This window comes from Homo sapiens, chromosome 1 (assembly GCF_000001405.40).
Source record: "Homo sapiens chromosome 1, GRCh38.p14 Primary Assembly".
Lineage (NCBI taxonomy): Eukaryota > Metazoa > Chordata > Mammalia > Primates > Hominidae > Homo > Homo sapiens.
The window spans coordinates 225052330-225079834 of record NC_000001.11 but is presented as its reverse complement, the minus strand read 5'-3'; the positions used below and the strand labels follow the sequence as shown (position 1 = coordinate 225079834).

Here is a 27505-nt window from a genome sequence, read left to right as displayed (position 1 = left end):
GGGCGTGGTGGCAGGCGCCTGTAGTCCCAGCTACTCGGGAGGCTGAGGCAGGAGAATGGCGTGAACCCGGGAGGCGGAGCTTGCAGTGAGCCGAGATTGCGCCACTGCAGTCCAGCCTGGGCAACAGAGCAAGACTCCATCTCAAAAAAAAAAAAAAAAAAAGAATACTTGTATTAAACTATTTAGCCAAAATTCCACTGAAAGCAAATACCCAAATGCCTGGACTTACGAGACTAAGATCAAGTTTTTAATAAAAAAAAAATCCAAAAAAACCCTAAAAACTTACCTTGGCTTTTAAATTGCCAACATCAACATGTAGACCACTGATACATGCTTCCAAGTTATCTCTGAATTTAGTTATAGCAGTGTCTTTATTTATTTTACTTAACTTCATAGATGATTTTAGTTGACTAAACTTAAGAAGAAGAACTTGGAATATGGCAATTTGCTCTTCTGAAATATGGATCTGGTGATGCTTTGCAACAGAATATAGCTGAGACATTGTTAAGAACTCTTTTTCTAATTTAGATATTTTTGAGGAAATTGCATTCAAAAAAATAAAATGCTCCAGAAATTCTTCTATTTCAGTGGGATCACATTCCAGCTGCTGCAATGATGATTCCACAACCTGAAATCAACATGTCAATTATAATTGTGTAATGACTTTTCATCATTTTGGAAGACTAATTACTCTTTTTAATTTCTCTGACTTATATAAGTCTAATTTCAGAAAATAATTAAAACATCATGTATTAGTCTGTTCTCACACTGCTATAAAGAACTACTTGAGACTGGGTAATTTGTGAAGAAAAGAGGTTTAATTGACTCAGTTCCATAGGCTGTAGAAGAAGCATGGCTGGGAGGCCTCAGGAAATCTACAATCATGGCAGAAGGTGAAAGGGAAGCAAGCACATCTTACCAAGGCAGAAAAGCGGGGAGAGAGAGAGAGAGAGAGAGAGAGAGAGAGAGAGAGAGGGAGAGAGAGAGAGAGGGAGAGAGAGAGAGAGAGGGAGAGAGAGAGAGAGAGAGAGAGAGAGAGAGAGAGAGAGAGAGAGAGAGAGAGAGATTGAGAATGGGGGAGTGCTACACACTTTCAAACAACCAGACCTCCTGAGAACTCTATCACGAGAACAGCAAGGGGGAAGTCCACCCCCATGATTCAATCACCTCTCACCAGTGACCCCCCTTAACATGTGGGGATTACAATTTGACATGAGATTTGGTTGGGGACACAGAGCCAAACCATATCACATAATCTAGACATAATTCTAAGTGTTATTTAAGTACTGGGGCATTAACATGACCAAATCCTTCTACTGTTAACAAAAGACACTTGAATGTATTCCACATATAAAATAGATGCTATTAAGACATAAAATAAGTAAGTTATGAATAACAATTTTCAAGAAATGTAATACAAATGGCAAATTATGACTGAAATGTGAACGGTGCATAATAAATGCTACAACTTTTTGGGCATGTATGTGATAGGTTCTTTACGTACATGATCATACTTTATTCAGATAGTATATTTGCTAATTAGGTATTTTTTCTAATTGCACAGGAGGAAACTGAGTCTCAGAGGGTTTATTGTACCAAGATCAGAAATGTAGCAAGTTATACAACTGTGATTCAAACCCAAATTGATTCCACGTCCCATTATTTTCCACCATACTTATATCTATTATATTTATAACCATACTTGTCAAAAGTGTATATAAATTACTCCATAAAATGCTTGAAGTAATTGCATTTCTGTGCTGGAACTAAAATTTTTTCATATTTTTTCATGTTTCAAGGGTTCTTAAGGAGTATGCCTGCATAATTTTATGTAATTTTGGTATGAAAGTCAGTTCAATTTTTAATCTTTACAGCCTTGAATTAATTTCACATATGTGTGTGTCTAATTTGATATTAAAATAAATGTTCATGCAAAAATCACAATACAAAAAAGTTTATAAGATGGAAAAGTTTATCAGATGGTCAACTATTATTCCATTACCCAGAGATTACCATTGTTAATCCATCAGAAATTTTATTATGGGGCATGTGTGTGTCTCTTTGCCACAGAGTTTATATTAAGAGGCCTTAAAATCAGAGAAACTTATTTTCGATCCCAGCCTCAGTATTTACTAACTGTGTGAACCTAAGCAAATAGCTTTATTCTGATAAACTTATTGTCCTCATCTGTACTTTGGAGATCAAATAAAATAATTCAGTAATAGACTTACAATGTACCTGGCATATGGAAAGTGCACCAAGAATGATCGTGTCAGTAGACTGAGTAAACATAACTATTTAGACTCCAATACAAATACTAATTAAATGCCCAAAAAATTTTGAAATACACATTTATATCACAAACAACCAAATAATTCCAATCTCATATAAACCAAGAGAATATAAAAAGGTAAAATATACCCAAACTTCATTTATGACACTAGTAACATATTGATACCAAAACCAGATAAGGATGGTAAAAGAAAATTATAGACTATTTTCACTTATAAACATAAACACAAAAATCTTAAAAATAATATGTAAGCTTGTGTATGCACATGCTGGTAAGGTAAATCTATCAATTTGGATGTGAGATTACCCTTAGAAAGTCAATTAATATAACTCCCCACAGAAAAAGATTAAAGGAAAACAACTGCAAGATTATCTCAATAGATGTAATGAATAAGCATTTGATAAAATTCATTTATAATAAAAACTCTTATCAAACTAAAAATAGAAAGTATTTTCTTATTGTTCAATTCCCACCTATGAGTGAGAACATGTGGTGTTTGGTTTTCTGTCCTTTTGATAGTTTGCTGAGAATGATGGTTTCCAGCTTGGACACAGGGCAGGGAACATCACACACCGGGGCCTGTTGGGTGTTGGGGGCTGGGGGAGGGATAGCATTAGGAGAAATACTTAATGTAAATGATGAGTTTATGGGTGCAGCAAACCAACATGGAACATTTATACCTATGTATCAAACCTGCACATTGTGCACATGTACCCTAGAACTTAAAGTATAATAAAAAAAAAAGAAGGTATTTTATTTAACCTTACAAAGGGAAGCTACCAAAACCCTCAGGAAATATAAATACACCCAGGACAAAGAGCAGCCAGAAAGAGGATGAATAAACAGAACTTTCAGAACAGATTCTTTGAAAAACAGCTCAGAAACAACCTTCTGGAACCAAAACTTATCATTTTTCTTACTATAGAAATTTGGTTCATAGTGTCACTATGTGGGTCAAGAACTGTTTAAGTGCTTTGCAGATAATAACAGGGAGCAAGACGGTGGAATCGTACTCTCCAGCAATCATATCCCTGTAGAAACATCAACTATAACAATTATCCATGTACAAAAGTACCTTCACAAGTGCTAAGGAAATCAAGTGAGAGATGACAATATCTGCATGTAGCATAGAAATAAGAAAAGGCACACTGAAGACAGAAAGAAGGACAATTTTATTCCAATACCAGGCCCATCACAGTAAAATTCAGCACCAGGCAGGGACCTATAACCCAACTCCAAGCTGGTCCTCACAGATTGAGCCTCCAGACCCACCCTGGCACCAGACTATACCCCACAGTCCCATGTTTTGAGGCCCACATGTTGGACTCAGTCTCTGGTTCTCCCCACTACCATGCCACCTTCAGTGGCCTTGGGTTCCAGACAGCCCTCCGTGGAAGACTAAGCCCAGTGACCCCAGGCTTTAAGCCCACCTAGCACCACACTACCCTTGGTAGTCACAAGCATTAGGCTGGCCCCCAGGGATACAAGCTCAAGGCAGATGCCAGCAGACCCAGTCAACAGGTTCACCCAAGTGGATCCAGGCCCTAGGCTGGACCAGCCAGCCTAAGTGCTGTAGCAGCAAGCTGGCCCATGAACTATTCCAGATGGTCTCACCAGAATATCTGGATAGGCTGACTAGTAAAGGGCTTTCCCAGACAAAGCCAGTCTGCAAAGTATGTAATTAATAATTACCTACTTCTTCAAATGCACAGACACCAAAGCATGGCCACAAGGATAAAAAATCATTAGGAAAACATGACATCACCAAAGGAACAAAATAAAGCACCCATCCCTGACCCTAAAGAAATAGAGTTGTATGAACTGACTGAGAAATAATTCACAATAACTTTTTTTTTAGAGGTAGGGTCCCACTATGTTGTCTCTGAACTCCTGGACTCAATAACAACACCTTAATTTCCTGAGTAGCTGGGACTACAGGTAAACACCACCACACCCAGGTTAAAAATAATTATTTTAAGGAAGCTTAGCAAACTTCATAAGATTACACAGGAACAACTCAACAACATATAGAAAATAATAAATGACTAAATTTAGAAATTTAACAAAGAGATTTAAATAATTTTTAAGAATTTGGAGGGAGTGGCCAAGATGGCTGACTAGAAGCAGCTAGAATGCATTGCTCTCACAGAGAGGTATGAAAAGGGTGAGTAAATACAGTACCTTCAATTGAAACATCCAGGTACTTGCATTGGGACTAATAAAGGAAACAACTCGACCCACGGAGAACAGAGAAAAGCAAGGAAGGACAATGGTCCACCCAGGAGTGACACAGAGCCAAGTGAACCTCCCCCACCCAGGGAAGTGGTGAGTGAATGTGTGACCACAGGAAACCACACTTCTCCCATGGATCTTTGCAACCCTTGGGGCAGGAGAACCCCTTGTGAACCCACTTCACCAGGGCCTTCAGTCTGACACACAGAGCTACATGGAGTCTTGGCAGAGTAGTCACTCAGGTATGCACAGAAACCCAGGAGCTTTAGATAGTCCAGCTCCAGGCTTTCCAGCAAAAGTAACTGCAATGCTGGCAAAGTGGGAGGTTAGACCCCCATATATACCCCTAGGAAAGAAGCTGAATCCAGGGCACCAAGCAGTGATAGTCTGGGGGTGCTACTTTCACGATGCCTCACAGGATAACATCCAGTGGCTTGGAATTCCAGCCAGCCACAGGTAGCAGTGTTGCACCTGAGATGAAGCTCTTGGAAGGAGGGGCAGGCCACTATGTTTGCTGTTTGGGCAACTTAGCCACTATAGCCTGCGGCTTTGGAGATTCCAAACTGACTGGAGGTGGAAGGGGTTCCCCAGCACAGCACAGCTACCCTACCAAAGGGTGGCCAGACTGCTTAAGCAGGTCCCTTATCTGTTCCTCCTCATTTGGCAAGACCTCCAAACTGGGGCCTCCAGCCACCCCGCTGGTGTTCTCCATGTGATAGAGATTAGAAAACTCCCTGGGAGAGAGCTCCCAAAGGGAAGGGTGGGCCACCATCTTTGCTGTTTGGGCCCCTTAGCCATTCCAGCCTACTGGCTTTGGAGAGCCCAAGCCAATCGGGGGCAGAGGCAGAAGCACAGCACAGCACAGCTTCTCTACAAAAGCATGACCAGACTGCTTCATTAAGTAGGTCCCGTATCTGTTCCTCCTCACTGGGTGGACTCTCCAAACCAGGTTCTCCAGCCAATCCCACCAGTGTTCTCCAGCGGACAGAGGTTTAAAAACTTCCTAAGACAGGCCGGGCGCGGTGGCTCACGCCTGTAATCCCAGCACTTTGGGAGGCCGAGGCAGGCGGATCACGAGGTCAGGAGATCGAGACCATCCCGGCTAAAACGGTGAAACCCCGTCTCTACTAAAAATACAAAAAATTAGCCGGGCGTAGTGGCGGGCGCCTGTAGTCCCAGCTACTTGGGAGGCTGAGGCAGGAGAATGGCGTGAACCCGGGAGGCGGAGCTTGCAGTGAGCCGAGATCCCACTACTGCACTCCAGCCTGGGCGACAGAGCGAGACTCCGTCTCAAAAAAAAAAAAAAAAAAAAAAAAAACTTCCTAAAACAGCTGAGTGCGGTGGCTCATGCCTGTAATCCCAGTACTTTGGGAGGCCGAGGCAGGTGGATCACAAGGTCAAGAGATTGAGAACATTTTGGCCAACATGGTGAAAGCCCGTCTCTACTAAAAATACAAAAATCAGTTGGGCATGGTGGCACACTGTAGTCCCAGCTTCTTGGGAGGCTGAGGCAGGAGAATTGCTTGAATCTGGGAGGCGGAGGTTGTAGTGAGCCGAGATTGCGCCACTGCACTCCAGCCTGGTGACAGAGCAAGACTCTGTCAAAAAACAAAAAACAAAAACAAAAACAAACAACAACAACAACAAAAAACTGAAAACAACAACAACAACAACAAACTTCCTAAGACAGAGCTCCCAGAGGGAGGAGCGGGCCGCCATCTTTGCTGTTTGGGTGACTTAGTCATTCCATCCTCTGGGCTCTGGATAGCCCAAGCTGACCAGGGGCAGAGGTGGCACCCCAGCACAATACATCCGCTCTACAAAACCATGGCCAGACTGCTTCTTTAAGTGGGTTCCCAATCCTGTTCCTTGTCGTTGGATGGAACCTCCCAACCAGGGCCTCCAGCCACCCCCATCAGTGTTCTCTGGCCTACACAGATTTGAAAACTCCCTGAGATGGTACTCCCAGAGGGAGGGGCAGGCTGCCATCTTTGCTGCTTGGGCAACTTAGCAGTACCAGCCTTCGGGCTTTAGAGAGCCCCAGCTGACTGGGGGTAAAAGTGGTACCCCAGCACAGCACAACACCCCCACAAAAACATGGTCAGACTGCTTTTTTAAGCGTGTCCCCAACCCCATTCCTATTCATCCTGTGGGGCCTCCCAACTGGGGTCTCTGGCTACCACCACTGGTGTTCTCTGGCTGACAGAGGTTTTGGCAACATATCCTTGCCATGTCTGAGGCAACAAGGGGCTGAAGTGGACTCCCCAGCACAGGATGGCTACTCTATGAAAACATGGCCAGACTACTTTGTTAAGTGGGTTCCCAATCCCATTCCTCATGACTGGATGAGACCACCAAATTAGGGTCTCCAGCCATGTCCTGCAGGTGCATTCAGGCTGGCAGCTGGTCCTTACCTCCCTGGGATGGCACTCCCAGGAGAAGGGGCAGGCTGGCATCTTAGCTGCTTCACAGACTTCACTGACGATAACTCCAAATACTGGAAAATCCAAGGCAACTAGAAACTGCAGTGGACCCCCAGCATACCACAAGCAGACCTACAGAAAAGTGGCCAGACTGTTAAGGAAAAATAAAAACCATCTAAAGGTCAGCAACCTCAAAAACTGAATGTAGATAAGCACACAAAGATGAGAAAGCATCAGTTAAATGATGGTTCTAGAATGCTAAAAACTCAAAAAGCCAGAATGCGCTCTTTCTTCCAAATGACTGCAATACCTCTCCAGCAAGACTCTGGAACCAGACTGAGGCTGAGATGGCTGAAGTAGAATTCAGAATATGGACAGGAACAAAGATCACTGAGCTAAAGAAGTACATTGTAACCCAATGAAAGGAAGCTAAAAATCATCTTAAAACATTGCAGGAGCTGACAGACAAAATAGCCAGTAAAGAGAAGAATGTAACGACCTGATAGAGTTGAAAGACACACTAGAAGAATTTCATAATGCAATCACAAGTATTAATAGCAGAATAAACCAAGCAGAGAAAAAAATCTCAGAGCTTGAAGACTGCCTTTCGGAAATAAAACAAGCAGACAAGAATAAAGAGAATTAAAGAAAAGAACAAAATATCTGAGAAATATGGGATTATGTAAAGAGACTGAATCTATGACTGATTGGTGTACCTGAAAGAGATGGAGAGAATGGAGCCAACTTGAAAAACATATCTCAGAATATCATCCATGAGAACTTCCCCAACCTAGCTAGAGAAGCCAACATTAAAATTCAGGAAATTCAGAGAACCCTAGTAAGATCCACGAGAAGATCATCCCCAAGACACATCATCAGATTCTTCAAGGTCAAAATGAAAGAAAAAATGTTAAAGGCGGTGATATGGTTTGGCTGTGTCCCCACCCAAATCTCACCTTGAATTGTAGTTCCCATAATCCCCACATGTCGTGGGAAGTGATTGAATCATGGGGGCAGTTACCCCTATGCTGCTGTTCTTGTGGTAGTGAGTAAGTTCTCACGAGATTTGATGGTTTCAAAAGGGGCTTTCCTGCCTTTTGTTTGGCACTTCTCCTTCCTGTCACCATGTGAAGACAAACATGCTTGCTTCCCCTTCTACCATGATTGTAAGTTTCCTGAGGCCTTCACAGTCATGCTGAACTGTGAGTGAATTAAATCTCTTTCCTTTATAAATTACCCAATCTTAGGTATGTCTTTATTAGCAGTGTGAGAATGAACTCATACAGGCAGCTAGAAAGGCCAGGTCACCCACAAAGGGAAACCCATCAGATTAACAGTGGAGCTCTCAGTGGAAACCCTACAAATCAAAAGAGATTGGAGGCCAATATTCAACATACTTGAAGAAAAAAAGTTCCAACCCAGAATTTCATATCTGGCCAAACTAAGCTTCATAGGTGAAGGAGAAATAAGGCCCTTTTCAGACAAGCAAATGCTCAGAGAATTTGTTACCACCAGACCTGCCTTATAGGAGCTCCTAAAGGAAGCATTAATATAAAAATGAAAGACCATTACCAACTACTGTAAAAACACACTGAAGTACACAGACCAGTGACACTATATGGCAACCACATTAACAAGTCTGCAAAATAACCAGCTAACATCATGATGATAGGTTCAAATCCACACATACCAATACTAACCTTAAATGTAAACGGACTAAGTGTCCCAATTAAAAAACACAGAGTGGTAAGCTGGGATAAAGAGTCAAGACCCATTGGTATGCTGTCTTCAAGAGACCCATCTCACATGCAATGACACACATAGGCTAAAAATAAAAGGAGGAAAGAAAATCTACGAAGCAAATGGAAAACAGAAAATAGCAGGGGTTGCAATCCTAGCTTCTGACAAAACAGACTTTAAACCAACAAAGATAAAAAAGACAAAGAAGGACATTACATAATGTTAAAGGGTTCAATTCAACAAGAAAACCTAACTATCCTAAATATATGTGCACCCAAGACTGGAGCACCTAGATTTATAAAGAAAGTTTCTAGAGACCTTGCCACAATAATAGTGGGAAACTTTAACACCCCACTGACAATATGTCTAATAGACAGAAAGTTAACAAAGATATTCACAACCCGAGCCCAGCACTGGATCAAATGGACCTGAGACATACCCACAGAACTCTCCACACAAAAACAATAGAATATACTTCTTTTCATCACCGCATGGCACTTACTCTAAAATAGATCACATAATCAGGAGTAAAACACTCCTCAGCAAATGCAAAAGACCTGAAATCATAACAAACTGTCTTTCACAACACAGCAAAATGAAATCCACAATCAAAACCAAGAAATTCACTCAAATCCATACAATGACACTGAAATGGAATAAGCTGCTCCTGAATGACTTTTGGGTAAATAATGAAATTAAGGCAGAAATCAAGAAGTTTTTTGAAATTAATGAGGACAAATATACAATGTACCAGAATCTCTGAGACATAGCTAAGGCAGTATTAAGAGGAAAATTTATAGCACTAAATGCCCACATCAAAAAGCTAGAAAGATCTCAAGTTAACAACCTAACATCACAACTAAAAGACCTAGAGAACTAAGAGTAAACAAATCCCAAAGTTAGCAGGAGACAAGAAATAACCAAAATCAGAGTGAACTGAAGGAGAAAGAGACATGAAAAACCATTCAAAAGACCAATGAATCCAGGAGCTGGGTTTTTTGAAAAAAATTAATAAAAGAGACACTGCTAGCTAGACGAATAAAGTAGAAAAGGGAGAGTATTCAAATAAATGCAATCAGAAATAACAAGTGAGATATTATCACTGACCCCACAGAAATACAAACAACTATCAGAAAACATTATGAATACCTCTACAGACATAAGCTAGAAAATCTAGAAGAAATGGATACATTCCTGGACACACACACCCTCCCAAGACTAAACCAGGAAGAAATTGAATCCCTGAACAGACCAAAAATGAGTTCTAAAATTGAGGCAGTAATTAAGTCTATCATCCAAAAAAACCCCAGGACCAGATGGATTCACAGTTGAATTCTACCAGATGAACAAAGAAGGGCTGGTACCATTCCTGCTGAAACTAATCCAAAAACTTAAAAATGAAGGACTCCTCCCTAAGTCATTCTATGAGGCCAGCATCATCCTGATACCAAAACCCGGCAGAGATACAACCAAAAAAGGAAACTTCAGGCCAGTATCCTTGATGAACACCAGTGCAAAAGTCCTCAACAAAATACCAGGAAACTGAATCCAGCAGCACTGGGCTGAAAAGGCTTATCCACCATGATCAAGTAGGCTTCATCCCCAAGATGCAAAGTTGGTTCAATATACACAAATCAATACATGTGACTCATCACATAAACAGAACTAAAGACAAAAACCACAGGATTATCTAAGAGATGCAGAAAATGCCTTTAATGCGATTCAACATCCTTCATGTTAAAAACTCTCAATAAATTAGGTATTGAAGGAACATATCTCAAAATAATAAGAGCCATCTCTGACAAACCCGCAGCCAACATTATACTGAATGGGCAAAAGCAGGAAGCATTCCCCTTAAAAACTGGCAGAAGAAAAGGATGTACTCTTTCACCACTCCTATTCAACACAGTATTGCAAGTTCTGACCAGGGCAACTGAGCAAGAGAAAAAAATAAAGGGCATCCACATATGAAGTCAAAGTATCCCTGTTTGCAGATGGCATGATCCGATATTTAGAAAACTCCACTGTCTTGGCCCAAAAGCTTCTTTTTTTTTTTTTTTTTTTTGAGACGGAGTCTCGCTCTGTCGCCCAGGCTGGAGTGCAGTGGCGGGATCTCGGCTCACTGCAAGCTCCGCCTCCCGGGTTCACGCCATTCTCCTGCCTCAGCTTCCCAAGTAGCTGGGACTACAGGCGCCCGCCACTACACCCGGCTAATTTTTTGTATTTTTAGTAGAGACAGGGTTTCACCGTTTTAGCCGGGATGGTCTCGATCTCCTGACCTCGTGATCCGCCCGCCTCGGCCTCCCAAAAGCTTCTTAAGCTGATAATTTCAGCAAAGTCTCAGAATAGAAAATCAACGTGCAAAAATAACTAGCATTCCTATACACCAACAACAATCAAGCTGATAGCCAAATCATAAATGAACTACCATTCACAATTGCCACAAAAGGAATAAAATACCTAGGAATACAGTTAACTAGGGAGGTAAAAGATCTCTACAAGGAGAACTACAAACCACTGCTCAGGGAAATCAGAGAGGATACAAACAAATGGAGAAACATTCCATGCTCATGGATAGGAAGAATCAGTATTGTGAAAATGGCTATACTGCCCAAAACAATTTTAGATTCAATGCTATTTCCATTAAACTACCATTGACATTCTTCACAGAACTAGAGAAAACTATTTAAAGATTCAAGTGAAACCAGAAAAAGAACCCAAATAGCCAAGACAATCCAATCAAAGAGAACAAAGCTGGAGGCATCACACTACCCATCTTCATACTACACTACAGGGCTACACTAACCAAAACAGCAAGGTACTGGTACAAGAAAAGGCACATAGACCAAGGGAACAGAACAGAAAGCCCAGAAATAGGACCACACACCTACAACTATCAGATCTTCAACAAACCTGACAAAGACAAGCAATGGGGAAAGGAATCCCTATTCAATAAATGATGCTGGGATAACTGGCTAGCCATATGCTGAAGATTGAAATTGAACCCCTTCCTTATACCATATACAAAAATTTTCTCAAGATGAATTAAAGACTTAAATGTAAAACCCCAAACTATAAAAGCCCTGGAAGATGACCTAGGCAATACCATTCAGGACATAGGCATGGGCAAAGATTTCATGATGAAGATGCCAAAAGCAATTGCAATAAAAGCAAAAATTGACAAATGGAATCTAATTAAACTAAAGAGCTTCTGCACAGCAAAAGAGACTATCAACAGAGTAAACAGCCCAGAGAATGGGAGAAAATTTTTGCAAACTAGTCATCTAACAGAGATCTAATATCCAGCATCTATAAGGAATGTAAACAAATTTACAAGAAAAATCAAACAACTCAATAAAAAAGTGGGTAAAGGACATCAACAGTCACTACATGCAGCCGACAATCACATGAAAAAAAAGCTCAACATCACTGATCATTAGAGAAATGCAAATCAAAACCACAATGAGCTACCATCTAACACCAGTCAGGATGGCTATTACTAAAGAGTCAAAAAATAACCGATGCTGGTGAGGTTGTGGAGAAAAAGGAACACTTATACACTGTTGATGAGAGTGTAAATTAGTTCAGCCATTGTAGAAGACAGCGTGGCGATTCCTCAAAGACCTAAAGATGAAACTACCATTTGACCCAGCAATGCCATTACTGGGTATATGCACAAAGGAATATAAATCATTCTATTATAAAGACACATGCATACATATATCCATTGCAGCACTGCTCACAATAGTAAAGACATGGAATCAACCTAAATGCCCATCAATGATAGACTAGATAAAGAAAATATGGTATGTATACACTATGGAATATTATGCAGCCATAAAAAGAATGAGATCATGTTCTGTGCAGGGACATGGATGAAGCTGGAGGCCATTGTCCTTAGCAAATTAATGCAGGAATAGAAAACCAAATACCACATGTTCTCACTTATAAGCAGGAGCTAAATGATGAGAGCACATGGACACATAGAGGGGAACAACACACACTGGGGCCTACTGGAGGGTGGAGAGTGGGATGAGGGAGAGAGGAAAAATAACTAATGGATTAATACCTGGCTGATGAAATAATCCATATAACAAACTCCTTTGACACATGTTTACCTATGTAACAAACCTGCACATTCTGCACATGTTCCCCTGAACTTAAAAGTAAAAAAAGACACATGTACACACGTTTATAGCAGCACATTTTACAATTGCAGAAATATGGAAACAATCTAAGTGCCCATCAACCAATGAGTGGGTAAATTAAATGTGGTATACACACACCATGGAATAATACTCAACCATAAAAAGCAGCAAAATAATGTCTTTTGCAGAAACTTGGATGGAACTGGAGGCCATTATTCTAAGTGAAGTAACCCAGGAATGGAAAACCAAATATCATATGTTCTCACTTATAAGTGGGAGCTAAGCTATAAGGATGCAAAGGCGTAAGAACAATATAATAAACTTTGGGACTCAGGTGGGAAGGGTGGGAGGGGGGTGTGAGATAAAAGACTACATATTGGGTACAGTGTATACAGCTCAGTTGACAGGTGCACCAAAATTTCAGAAATCACCACTAAAGAACTTATCCATGTAACCAATAACCACTTGTACCCCCAAAACTATCGAAATAAAAATACATAATAAAAATAAATTAAAAATTTAAAAATGAAGACTGAAAACTGTAAAACTTCTAGAAGAAGACAGGGGCAAAGCTCCATGATGTTGGCCTAAAAAATGATTTCTTGGATATGACCCTGAAAACACAAGCAACAAAAGCAAAATGAGATGAATAGGATTACATCAAACTAAAAATCTTCTGCAAACCAAAGGAAACAATTCACAGACTGAAGGGACAACCTATGAATTTGGAGAAAATATTTTGCAAGCTATACATCTGATAAGGGGATAATTTATAAGCAACTCAAATACCTTTACAGAAAGAAAACAAACAATCCAATAAAAAGTAGATATGTCTCAAAAGGAGACATACAAATGGCCAACAGATATATGAAAAAAATGCTCAATATCACTAATCACTAGGGAAATTCAAGTTAAAATCACAGTGAGTCATCACCTCACACCTGTCAGAATAGTTATTATCAAAATGATGAAAGTACATGTGGCAAGGATTTGGAGAAAGAAGGACAGTTGAACACTGTTGTTTGGAATATAATTTCATACTGCCCTTTTGGAAAACTGTATGGAGGTTCCTCAAAAAACTAAAAATAGAATTACCACATGATCCAACAATCTCACTTCTGGGTATTTACCCAAAAGATCTGAAATAAGTATGTCAGAGATGTCTGCACTTCCATGTTCCTTTTAGCACTATTCACTTATGGACAATTGTGGACACTATGTGTCTATCAACAGATGAATGGACAAATAAAATGTAGTATATGTACACAATAAAATACTATTCAGCTTTAAAAAAGAAATTCATTCTGTCATTTGTGTCAATATGGATGCAACTGGAAGACATGCTAAATAAAATAAGCTAGGCACAGCAAGGCACAGAAAGACAAATATCACATGTTCTCAATTACATGTAGTATCTCAAACAGTGGAATTCATAAAAGAAGAGAGTAGAATGGTGTTTACTAAAGGCTATGGGTGGGGGAAATGGAATGATGGTCAAAGGGTGCAAAGCCTCAGATGGGAGGAGTAAGATTTGTGTGTTGTTGTTGGTTTTTTTTTTTGAGATGCATTGCACAGCATGGTGAATATATTTAATAATAGTGTACTGTGCATTTCAAAATCACCAAGAGAATAAATTTCAAATGTCTTTATCATAAAAATGATAAGTATTTGAGATGATGGATATGTTAATTAGCTTAATTATTCCTTATGTTCATAAATCATTACATCACTTTGTACCCTATAAATATATACAACAATATAAATATATACAACAATGTAAAACCCCAAACTATAAAAACCCTGGAAGATGTCCTAGGCAATACCATTCAGGACATAGGCATGGGCAAAGATTTCATGATGAATTTGTTCATTTGCAATAAAACTTTTCAAAAAGACAAAAAATAAAATTAAGAAACAGCTTTGCAACCATTAACTTAATTCCACAACCATTCTAGGTAAGGTAATAATATTATCCCCAATTTACCTTTGAGGAAACTGTGGTACAGACAGGGTATCTACATTAATACCTTCCTTCAAATAGTAAACAGAACAGCTAGGTTTTTAAAAAAATCATTTGTGCTGAAACATAATTTGTATATAGAAAAATGCTAATTGTTTATTTTGATGAGTTTTAACACACTCATACATATTTGTAACTACCTCCATAAACAAAATATAGAAAACTTCACTGTCCTAGAAAGATGCCTTGTGACCCATCCCAATCTCCTCCCAACCCTGGCTTCAGAAAACAATCTGTCTAGTTATTGTTGCTATAGATTAAATTTGTCTTGTCAAGTTTCATATATGAGTACATGGAATCACATAGTAGGTACTCCTTTGTGTCTGGCTTCTTTTGTTCAACATGTTTTTGATATTCATCCAAGTTGTTGCATGTAGTAGCTTGTTCTTTTTTTTAATGCTGCATACTATTCTAATACATGAATATATCAAATTTTTCTTATCTGTTCACCTATTGATATACACTTGGATTGTTTTCAGGTTTTGGCAATTGCAAATAAAGCTTCTCTGACCACTTGGGTGCAAGTCTTTGGGTGGACTTGTTTTCATTTTTAATGGGTGAATAATGTGGAATGGAACTGATGGATTAAATGGTGAGTATTTAACTTTAAAAGTAATTGCCAGTTTTCCAAAGTGACTGTACCATTTTGCATTATCATCTGCAATGTATGAAAATTCTAGTTTCTCCATAACCTTTTTAACATCTGATATTGTCAGTATTTTAATTTTAGCCATTCCAATGGCTATATAGTGAATTGTCATTGGAGTTTTAAAGTACATATCCTTGATGACTATGATGTTTAGCACAGGTTGTATCTGTCATCTGCTTTTATTAAATGTCTGATCAAATACTTTGCCCACTTTTTACTGGGTTGTCTTGTTATTTTTATTGGTACTTTGTCTGGTAAGAGTTCTTCCTTATGTATGCTGGATACAAGTCCTTTGTTAGATACACAAAATCCAAAGAGATTTTTCTCATTCTAAAAATGTTATTCCATTGTCTTCTTGTTTACATAATTTCTCACCAGAAGTCTGTGAAATTTCTTTTTTTTTTCTTTTTTATTCTTTATCTTTTTTTGGGGAGGAGGTCTTGCTGCATTTACAATTTTCTCCTTTTCACTTGTTTTCAGTAATTTTATCATGTTTTGGGCATTGTTTTCTTTTTTCGTTTTCATTGGATTTCATTGAGCGCTCCTCAGATCTATTGGTTTATACTTTTCATCAAATCTGGAAACTATTTCATCATTTTTCAGATAACTTTTGTCTCTCCACCTTCTCATTTCCCATAGAACTATAATTACACATATGATAGATCACTTGGTATTATCCCACAGGCAACTGAGTCTCTGTTTTTGTTTGATTTCTTAGTCTTCTTTCATCCCTGTGCTTCCTTTGCAATTGATTCTATTTCTATTATTTCAAGTTCAGATTTTTTTCTGCAGTGTCTAATCAATTAATCTCATCAAGTGAAGTTTTCATTTAAGATACAGTCAGCCCTCCATGTCTGTGGCTTTCGCATCCATAGATTCAACCAACCACAAATGGAAAGTGTTTTTAAAAAACAACAAAAAAATTATAACAATAAAAAATAATACAAGTAAAAACCTACCATATAAAAATTAGTTACACAGCATTTACATTGTATTTGGTATTATAAGTAATCTAGAGGTGATTTAAAGTATACAGGAGGATGTGCATAGGTAGGTTATATGCAAATACATGATTTACATAAGGGACTTGAGTATCTATGGATTTTGGTATCCTTGGAGCCCTGAAACAAATCCTCCACAAATACAAAAGGATGACTATATTGTATTTTTCATCTCTTTAAGTTTTGCTATTTTGCTTTTTTTAAATATCTTTCATTTGTCTGTTATGTTCATGTTTTCATTTAAATACTTCTACATAAATATATAATCTGTTTTAGTGTCTTTTTCTGTTAGCCCCATCTCGTCATTTCTGTTTCCATTTATTTTTTTTCTCTTAGTTGTAGGTCACATTTTACTGCTTCTGGGCATATTTAGTAATTTCTGGTTGACAACCAAGCATTGTCAGTGTTACATGTTACGTATCTGATTTTTGCTGTTTTCATTTAAAGAGTGTTGTCTTTCATTTTTTCAGGTAATTAAATGCAGAACAATTTGATCTCTTTGAGGTCTATCTTTAATCTTTGGAAGGGTAGTTATAAAATGGACTTTCCTTTAGGGATAGTTAGCTCTATTGCTAAGGTTTACTCATTTGGGGTCCACACTGAATGCCTTGTATAATTGTTGAGACCCTCCACTCTGAGCAGTGAGAACTTGGTGATTTCAAAAGATTGTTCTGCTTACAATTAGTGGTTCCAATTCATCTTTGTGAACTTTCACTCTATGAACATTCTGCCTACTGAGTCACAGGACCCCAGGGCAGATTTCTGGGGCTTTTTTTTTCTTCATAGCTTCCTTCTTTATAGGACTCTGCCCTAAAAATTTCAGCCATATCCTCAACTTATTGAGGCCAGTTCCCCCTCCCTGTACATATTTGCAGTCCAAAAACTATCCCCAGGCAGAAATCCTCTCTCTCACTTGTTTCCCTGATTTCAAGAATCATAATCCTGTACTACCTGTTAATCAGACACTAATCAGTGTCTGAAGGTATTTATTTATTTATTTCTCTTTCTTTCTCTCTCTCTCTCTCTTTTTGAGATACAGTCTTATTCTGTTGACCATGCTGGAGTGCAGTGGCACAATCCACTCACTGCAGCCTCAACTTCCTGGGATCAAGCCATCCTCACACCTCAGTCTCCTGAGTAGCTGGGACCACAGGTGTGCACCACCATGCCTGACTAATTTTTTTGCATTTTTTGTAGAGATGGGTTTTCACCACATTGCCCAGGCTAGTCTCAAACTCTTCAGCTCAAGCATTCCATCCGCCTCGGCCTCCCAAATTGCTGGCATTACAGAGGCATGAGCCAATGTACCCAGCCAGTATTTCTTTCCTTTATTTTATTTAGTTGTTTATGGAAGGAGGTTAAGTCCAGTCTTTGTTTCTCCATCATGGCTAGATCACAGATTTTGAACATAGGCAGTCTCACATCATAATCAATGTTCTAAACATTACATTCTCATTCCTGTCTATATAGCTAAATGGATGAAGATGAACTTTCTGGGAGTATGTAATTTAAGTGCTATATAAGGACTTTCAAAATAGAATATACAGCCAGGTGTGGTGGCTTGTGCCTATAATCCTAGCTATTCAGGAGGCTGAAAGGATCACTTGAGGCCAGGAGTTAGAGATCAGCCTGGGCAACATAACAAGACCCCATCTTTAAAAAACAATAATCTAGGATCCAAGATGGCCGTATAGGAACAGCTCCAGTCTACAGCTCCCAGCATGAGCGACGCAGAAGATGGGTGATTTCTGCATTTCCAACTGAGGTACTGGGTTCATCTCACTGGGCAGTGTCAGCAGTGGGTGCAGGACAGTGGGTGCTGCGCACCGAGCATGAGCCAAAGCAGAGTGAGGCACGGCCTCACCCAGGAAGCGCAAGGGGTCAGGGAATTCCTTTTCCTAGTCAAAGAAAGGGGTGACACACGGCACCTGGAAAATCGGGTCACTCCCACCCTAATACTGTGCTTTTCCAATGGACTTAGCAAATGGCACACCAGGAGATTGTATCCAGCGCCTGGCTCAGAGGGTCCTACGCCCACGGAGCCACGCTCATTGCTAGCACAGCAGTCTGAGACCAAACTGCAAGGCAGCAGTGAGGCTAGGGGAGGGGCACCTGCCATTGCCGAGGCTTGAGTAGGTAAACAAAGCAGCTGGGAAGCTCGAACTGGGTGGGGCCCACCACAGCTCAAGGAGGGCTGCCTGCCTCTGTAGACTCCACCTCTGGGGGCAGGGCATAGCCAAAACAAAAGGCAGCAGAATCCTCTGCAGACTTAAATGTCCCTGTCTGACAGCTTTGAAGAGAGTAGTGGTTCTCCTAGCATGCAGCTGGAGATCTGAGAAGGGACAGACTGCCTCCTCAAGTGGTTCCCTGACCCCCAAGTAGCCTAACTGGGAGGTAGCCCCAGTAGGGGCAGACTGACACCTCACACGGCCAGGTACTCCTCTGAGACAAAACTTCCAGAGGAATGATCAGGCAGCAACATTTGCTGTTCACCAATATCCGCTGTTCTGCAGTGTCTGCTGCTGATACCCAGGCAAACAGGGTCTGGAGTGGACCTCCGGCAAATTCCAACAGACCTGCAGCTGAGGGTCCTGACTGTTAGAAGGAAAACTAACAAACAGAAAGGACATCCACACTAAAACCCCATCTGTACATCACCATCATCAAAGACCAAAGGTAGATAAAACCACAAAGATAGGGAAAAAACAGAGCAGAAAAACTGGAAACTCTAAAAATCAGAGTGCCTTGCCTCCTCCAAAGGAACACAGCTCCTCACCAGCAACCGAACAAAGCTGGATGGAGAATGACTTTGACGAGTTGAGAGAAAAAGGCTTCAGACGATCAAACTACTCTGAGCTAAAGGAGGAAGGTCGAACCAATGGCAAAGAAGTTAAAACCCTTGAAAAAAAATTAGACAAATGGCTAACTAGAATAACCAATGCAGAGAAGTTCTTAAAGGACATGATGGAGCTGAAAACCAAGGCATGAGAACTATGTGACGAATGCACAAGCCTCAGTAGTTGATTCGATCAACTGGAAGAAAGGGTATCAGTGATGGAAGATCAAATGAATGCAATGAAGTAAGAAGAGAAGTTTAGAGAAAAAAAAATAAAAAGAAATGAACAAAGCCTCCAAGAAATATGGGACTATGTGAAAAGACCAAATCTACATCTGATTGGTAACAGGGAGAATGGAACCAAGTCGGAAAACACTCTGCAGGATATTATCCAGGAGAACTTCCCAATCTAGCAAGGCAGGCCAACATTCAACTTCAGCAAATACAGAGAACGCCACAAAGATACTCCTCGAGAAGAGCAACTCCAAGACACATAATTGTCAGATTCACCAAAGTTGAAATGAAGGGAAAAATGTTAAGGGCAGCCAGAGAGAAAGGTCGGGTTACCCACAAAGGGAAGCCCATCACACTAACAGCTGGTCTCTCGGCAGAAACTCTGCAAGTCAGAAGAGAGTGGGGGCCAATATTCAACATTCTTAAAGAAAAGAATTTTCAACCTAGAATTTCATATCCAGCCAAACTAAGCTCCATAAGTGAAGGAGAAATAAAATCCTTTACAGACAAGCAAATGCTGAGAGATTTTGTCACCACCAGGCCTGCCCTAAAAGAGCTCCTGAAGGAAGCACTAAACATGGAAAGGAACAACTGGTACCAGCCACTGCAAAAACATGCCAAATTGTAAAGACCATCGAGGCTAGGAAGAAACTGCATCAACTAAAGAGCAAAATAACCAGCTAACATCATAATAACAGGATCGAATTCACACATAACGATATTAACCTGAAATGTAAATGGGCTAAATGCTCCAATTAAAAGACACACACTGGCAAAATGGATAAAGAGTCAAGACCCATCAGTGTGCTGTATTCAGGAAACCCATCTCATGTGCAGAGACACACATAGGCTCAAAATAAAGGGATGGAGGAAGATCTACCAAGCAAATGGAAAACAAAAAAAGGCAGGAGTTGCAATCCTAGTATCGGATAAAACAGATGTTAAACCAACAAAGATCAAAAGAGACAAAGGAGGCCATTACATAATGGTAAAGGGATCAATTCAACAAGAAGAGCTAACTATCCTAAATATCTATGCAGCCAATACAGGAGCACCCAGATTCATAAAGCAAGTCCTTGGAGACCTACAAAGAGACTTAGACTCCCACACAATAATAATGGGAGACTTTAACACCCCACTGTCAACATTAGACACATCAACAAGACAGAAAGTTAACAAGGATATCCAGCAATTGAACTCAGCTCTGCACCAAGCGGACCTAATAGACATCTACAGAACTCTCCACCTCAAATCAACAGAATATACATTCTTCTCAGCACCACACCTATTCAAAAATTGACCACATAGTTGGAAGTAAAGCTCTCCTCAGCAAATGTAAAAGAATAAAAATTATAACAAACTGTCTCTCAGACCACAGTGCCATCAAACTAGAACTCAGGATTAAGAAACTCACTCAAAACCGCTCAACCACATGGAAACTGAACAACCTGCTCCTGAATGACTACTGGGTACATAACGAAATGAAGGCAGAAATAAAGATGTTCTTTGAAACCAACGAGAACAAAGACATAACATACCAGAATCTCTGCGAAACATTCAAAGCAGTGTGTAGAGGGAAATTTATAGCACTAAATGCCCACAAGAGAAAGCAGGAAAGATCCAAAATTGACACCCTAACATCACAATTAAAAGAACTAGAGAAGCAAGAGCAAACACATTCAAAAGCTTTCAGAAGGCAAGAAATAACTTAGATCAGAGCAGAAATGAAGGACATAGAGACACAAAACACCCTTCAAAAAATCAATGAATCCAGGAGCTGGTTTTTTGAAAAGATCAACAAAATTGATAGACCACTAGCAAGACTAATAAAGAAGAAAAGAGAGAAGAATCAAATAGACGCAATAAAAAATGACAAAGGGGATATCACCACCAATCCCACAGAAATACAAACTACCATCAGAGAATACTATCAACACTTCTACACAAATAAACTAGAAAATCTAGAAGAAATGGATAAATTCCTTGACACACACACCCTCCCAAGACTAAACCAGGAAGAAGTTGAATCTCTGAATAGACCAGTAACAGGCTCTGAAATTGAGGCAATAATTAATAGCCTACCAACCAAAAAAAGTCCAGGACCAGATGGTTTCACAGCCGAATTCTACCAGAGATACAAGGAGGAGCTGGTACCATTCCTTCTGAAAGTATTCCAATCAACAGAAAAAGAGGGAATCCTCCCTAACTCATTTTATGAGGCCAGCATCATCCTGATACCAAAGCCTGCCAGAGACACAACAAAAAAAAGAGAATTTTAGACCAATATCCCTGATGAACATCAATGCAAAAATCCTCAATAAAATACTGGCAAACTGAATCCAGCAGCATATCAAAAAGCTTATCCACCATGATCAAGTGGGCTTCATGCCTGGGATGCAAGGCTGTTTCAACATACGAAAATCAATAAACGTAATCCAGCATATAAACAGAACCAACGACAAAAACCATATGACTATCTCAATAGATGTAGAAAAGGCCTTTGACAAAATTCAACAACCCTTCATGCTAAGAACTCTCAATAAATTAGGTATTGATGGGACATATCTCAAAATAACAAAAGCTATCTATGGCAAACCCACAGCCAATATCATACTGAATGGGCAAAAACTGGAAGCATTCCCTTTGAAAACTGGCACAAGACAGGGATGCCCTCTCTCACCACTCTTATTCAACATAGTGTTGGAAGTTCTGGCCAGGGCAGTCAGGCAAGAGAAGGAAATAAAGGGTATTCAATGAGGAAAAGAGGAAGTCAAATTGTCCCTGTTTGCAGATGACATGATTGTATATCTAGAAAACCCCATTGTCTCAGCCCAAAATCTCCTTAAGCTGATAGGCAACTTTAGCAAAGTCCCAGGATACAAAATCAATGTGCAAAAATCAAAAGCATTCTTATACACCAATAACAGACAGAGAGCCAAATCATGAGCGAACTTCCATTCACAATTGCTGCAAGGAGAATAAAATACCTAGGAATCCAACTTACAAGGGATGTGAAGGACCTCTTCAAGGAGAACTACAAACCACTGCTCAATGAAATAAAAGAGGATACAAACAAATGGAAGAACATTCCATGCTCATGGGTAGGAAGAATCAATATCGTGCAAATGGGCATACTGCCCAAGGTAATTTATAGATTCAATGCCATCCCCATCAAGCTACCAAAGACTTTCTTCACAGAATTGGAAAAAAACTACTTTAAAGTTCCTATGGAACCAAAAAAGGGCCCGCATTGACAAGTCAATCCTAAGTCAAAAGAACAAAGCTGGACACATCACGCTACCTGACTTCAAACTATACTACAAGGCTACAGTAACCGAAACAGCATGGTACTGGTACCAAAACAGAGATATAGACCAACGGAACAGAACAGAGCCCTCAGAAATAATTCCACATATCTACAACCATCTGATCTTTGACAAACCTGACAAAAACAAGAAATGGGGAAAGTATTCCCTATTTAATAAATGGTGCTGGGAAAACTGGCTAGCCATATGTAGAAAGCTGAAACTGGATCCCTTCCTTACACCTTATACAAAAATTAATTCAAGATGGATTAAAGACTTAAATGTTAGACCTAAAACCATAAGAACCCTAGAAGAAAACCTAGGCAATACCATTCAGGACATAGGCATGGGCAAGGACTTCATATCTAAAACACCAAAAGCGATGGCAACAGAAGCCAAAATTGACAAATGGGATCTAATTAAACTAAAGAGCTTTTGCACAGCAAAAGAAACTACCATCAGAGTGAACAGGCAACCTACAGAATGGGAGAAAATTTTTGCAATCTACTCATCTGACAAAGGGCTAATATCAAGAATCTACAATGAACTCAAACAAATTTACAAGCAAAAAACAACCCCATCAAAAAGTGGGCGAAGGATATGAACAGACACTTCTCAAAAGAAGACATTTATGCAGCCAAAAGACATGAAAAAATGCTCATCATCACTGGCCTTCAGAGAAATGCAAATCTAAACCACAATGAGAAACCATCTCACACCAGTTAGAATGGCAATCATTAAAAAGTCAGGAAACAACAGGTGCTGGAGAGGATGTGGAGAAATAGGAGCACTTTTACACTGTTGGTGGGGCTGTAAAGTAGTTCAACCATTGTGGAAGTGAGTGTGGTGATTCCTCAGGGATCTAGAACTAGAAATACCGTTTGACCCAGGCATCCCATTACTGGGTATATACCCAAAGGATTATAAATCATGCTGCTATAAAGACACATGCACATGTATATTTATTGCAGCACTATTCACAATAGCAAAGACTTGGAACTAAGCCAAATATCCAACAATGATAGACTGGATTAAGAAAATGTGGCACATATATACCATGGAATACTATGCAGCCATAAAAAATGATGAGTTCATGTCCTTTGTGGGGACATGGATGAAGCTGGAAACCATCATTCTCAGCAAACTATCGCAAGGACAAAAAACCAAACACCACATGTTCTCACTCATAGGTGGGAACTGAACAACGAGAACACATGGAAACAGGAAGGGGAACATCACACAACAGGGCCTATTGTGTGGTGGGGGAGGGGGGAGGGATAGCATTAGGAGATATACCTAATATTAAATGACGAGTTAATGGGTGCAGCACACCAACATGGCACATGTATACATATGTAACTAACCTGCACGTTGTGCACATGTACCCTAAAATTTAAAGTATAATAAAAATAAATAAATAAATAAAAATAAAAAAATAATTTAGCTATGGTTGTACATGCCTGTAGTCCCAGCTATTCTGGAGGCTCAGGTGGGAGGATCACTTGAGTTTGAGGTTACAGTAAACTATGATTGCCACTGCACTATAGCCCCCATCACTGCAAATAAAGAAAAGACATACTTCTATTTCAGTAATAGTCTAGAACTGAAAGTACTAAGCTATCTCAGTGAACACTAACTGTTGGGTAAGGGAGTGGGAGTTAGTTTGTTCCAACATCTCATTTTTGAAGAAGGGGAGAATTAGAAAACGACACCATTCTTGAGATCTCATTTTACTGGCATGAGGAAATGCTATGTAGAAATACGGCATCTTAGAGGATAAACATTTTGTTTCCTCTTAATAGCAGATAAATACATTTTATTATGAGAATCAGGAGAGGGAAGATTATCATCAAAGAAATTTAAAAGTAGAATAAAACTCCCAAAATGAACACAGTAAAAAAAAAAGAGGGAGGTCACTTAAGATCAACTGATCAATACAGCAAAAATAAGGACAAAAACTTTAAGAAAAAAGTAAAATATAAGGTGAAATGGAAAAAAAGTGCATTAAATGTTATAAGCTAACAGATTGATTTCTCTTTTTAAAAGATAATTATTAACTGAGTTATAAAACAAAATTCAGAATTATGCTATTTATAAGAAGCACACTTAAGGAGAATATAAAAAATAAAGCAACGGGCAAAAATTAACTTGGCAAATATACATACACAAAAGAAACAGAAGTAGTTTTTATCAGGCAAATTAAAAGTACTTTAAAGATTCCTATAATGTTTTGATAAATGACATGCTTTGTGAAGATGATTTAACAGTCAGAAACCATACTGTATAGAAGCTAACTATATGTAGGAAAAACCACCAGAAATGCAAGAAGAAATTCATTTAAAGCATAATTATAATGAGAAGTTTTAAACAGGTTTTCAGGATTTATGTATGTCTGATACACCAAAAATAAATAAGGATATAGAGGAAATATATAATATACTAAAACCATTAATTTGAAAGAGTAGAACTTTATAGACAGTATTATAATGAAATAACTTAATTTTTCCTCCCACTTTTTGGGGTTTAAATGAAGAACGGACATTTGGATAAAATATACATCAATACCCAAGACTTTTCTGGTCACAGATAATAAAAGTCCTCTGGTCACTTTTAATTTTAAAAATCCATAATTTAAATATCAAGTCCCCATGTATTAATAACAGTCAAGCCTCCAAAATTTATTTAAAATTAATGTCTGTGGTAGAGAAGGTGGGTATGTAATTAGCTGCTTTTATATTTCTACGCCTTTTATTTATTCAATTACTTCCAGTTCCTACCCACACCTTCTGACCCCTCCAGGGGTATAGTAGGAGACAGAAGGAGAGAGGAGGCAGAAAATGTCTTTACTGCCTGCCACTGTCTGACCCGGCATTAACGTCTCTGAGCTGGGCAGATGTTTAGAGCTGACTCTGTCTCATGGGGAGCACTCACAGATTCTCAGTGATTCTCCACTGGGAACCCAACAACTGTAATTTCCTGGTTCTTTAGGCTTCTATTGTAGGTTCTCTTCTAGTCTCACTACACACATAAACAAGGCATTGTCATTCACTCTGTTGATTTCAACAACCACTTGTTTCTGATCATTTAAATATATATATTTCCAGTGTAGACACTTTCTTGATACCCAGACATGTATATCTGGTTATCCGTACTTGAATATTATTATGCAATTTAACAAGTACTATGTTCCTCCTCCCAATAATTTGCATTGCTGCCCACCCTGTTGCCCAACCCAAAACCTGAAAACATAATTAACTTTATCTTATACCTTACATTCAGTCAATGCCATATCCTGTTGATTCATGTCCTAGATGTATCTCATATCTATATATTGCTCAGAGTTCTCATTGTTACTACACTGAATCAGATTATCATCACCTCTCCCCTAGATGATGGAAACAGCTTTCCTCCTGTTTTACCCGACTTCAATCTATTCTTCACACTGCAGCCAGAGGGTCCACACAAAAATGCAAATTACATCAGTCACTTCTCTGCTTAAAACCTTGCAATAATTCCTATAGTCTTAAGAATAATGTTCCAAGTCCCTGACATGGCTTACTAGGCCCTTTTCTCCATTTCTTAGCTTCACCTCTTGCCAGTGCCTTTTCACAGACTATATTCCCACCTAATTGGATTCATTCAGGTCTTCTTCAGGTATGCCTTGTTCTCTTTTGACCTTTCCCTTGCTGTCCCCATTTCGTGATGTCAGTTTCTGCTTGATGCCTACCCCAAACTTCATTTTCCTTCACCACTTTAGTAACAAATCCTGAATTTGTGTGGGGTACCATGCTCCCAGTTAAAAGACTACTGTTCTCAGTCAGTCTTGCAGCTAGGTGAGGGCACATAACTGAGTTCTAGTAAATAAAATAAAAGCAAAAGTGTGGGGGTACCCCTGGGAAATATCCTTAAAAGTGGAATTCAGAGATTTTCTTTGCTGCCTTCTTCCATCCTGCTGCCTGGAATGAGGATATGATAACCAGTGCATGAGCATCATGCTCCAGGGAAGGCAGAGTGGTTAGCTAGAAGCATCCTATGTCCCTGATGGCTTCGTGAAGCCAACCATACTAGCCCTATGTTGTCTCTTTCTCCACTAATTTTACCTGAGAGAAAAATTAGTTTCAAACTTGTGTAAGCCACTGTTACCTTTTGCTTTCTGTCGTACGCAACTGAATCTAAGTTAAATCAACCTACTCCTGCAATATTCTAACCTTTCTTTCCAGTGTTTCCACGCCATCCCCCATTGGCTATGCAACTCCCACTCCTCCTTTAGATGGTACTACTTTTTCTAGAAAATTGTCTGTGATTGTTCACCTGGGTTATGTTAGGTATTTCAGCTAGCATTTTCTTCCAGATTAGACTCTATTGAATCTATCCCTCTCATGGTTATATTCCAGGGGCCTAGTACAATGCCTGGCATATAATCAATGCTCAACAAATATTTGTGGTCTGATTTAATAAATGAACAAATAGTAGGTATTATTATAAGTTCGTACCCTTAAACAGGTCTGAGGTACAACTGAGGGTGCTTGTGTGGACAATGGCTGGTCTATTAGGATCTAAGCTGTCCTAGAAACTTATATAGATGATAGGTAGAAATAACTAATGAAGGGGCAGGTTATCTTGC

General features: G+C 39.4%; 1 protein-coding gene across 23 annotated transcripts in view; it reads right to left on the bottom strand.

Annotated features, from left to right (window-relative positions):
* The window catches only part of DNAH14 (dynein axonemal heavy chain 14), a 469633-nt gene that overhangs the window by 319452 nt on the left and 122676 nt on the right, over positions 1-27505 (bottom strand). For 21 of the 23 annotated variants that reach the window (XM_011544062.3, XM_011544067.3, XM_017000296.2 and 18 more), the window contains one exon: positions 287-628. In XM_011544062.3, coding sequence (XP_011542364.1) covers positions 287-628 — 342 coding nt within the window. Of the gene's footprint in view, positions 1-286; positions 629-6939; positions 7663-27505 lie in introns of those variants that run through there. The other 2 variants (XM_011544074.3, XM_011544076.2) reach the window with 2 other exon arrangements.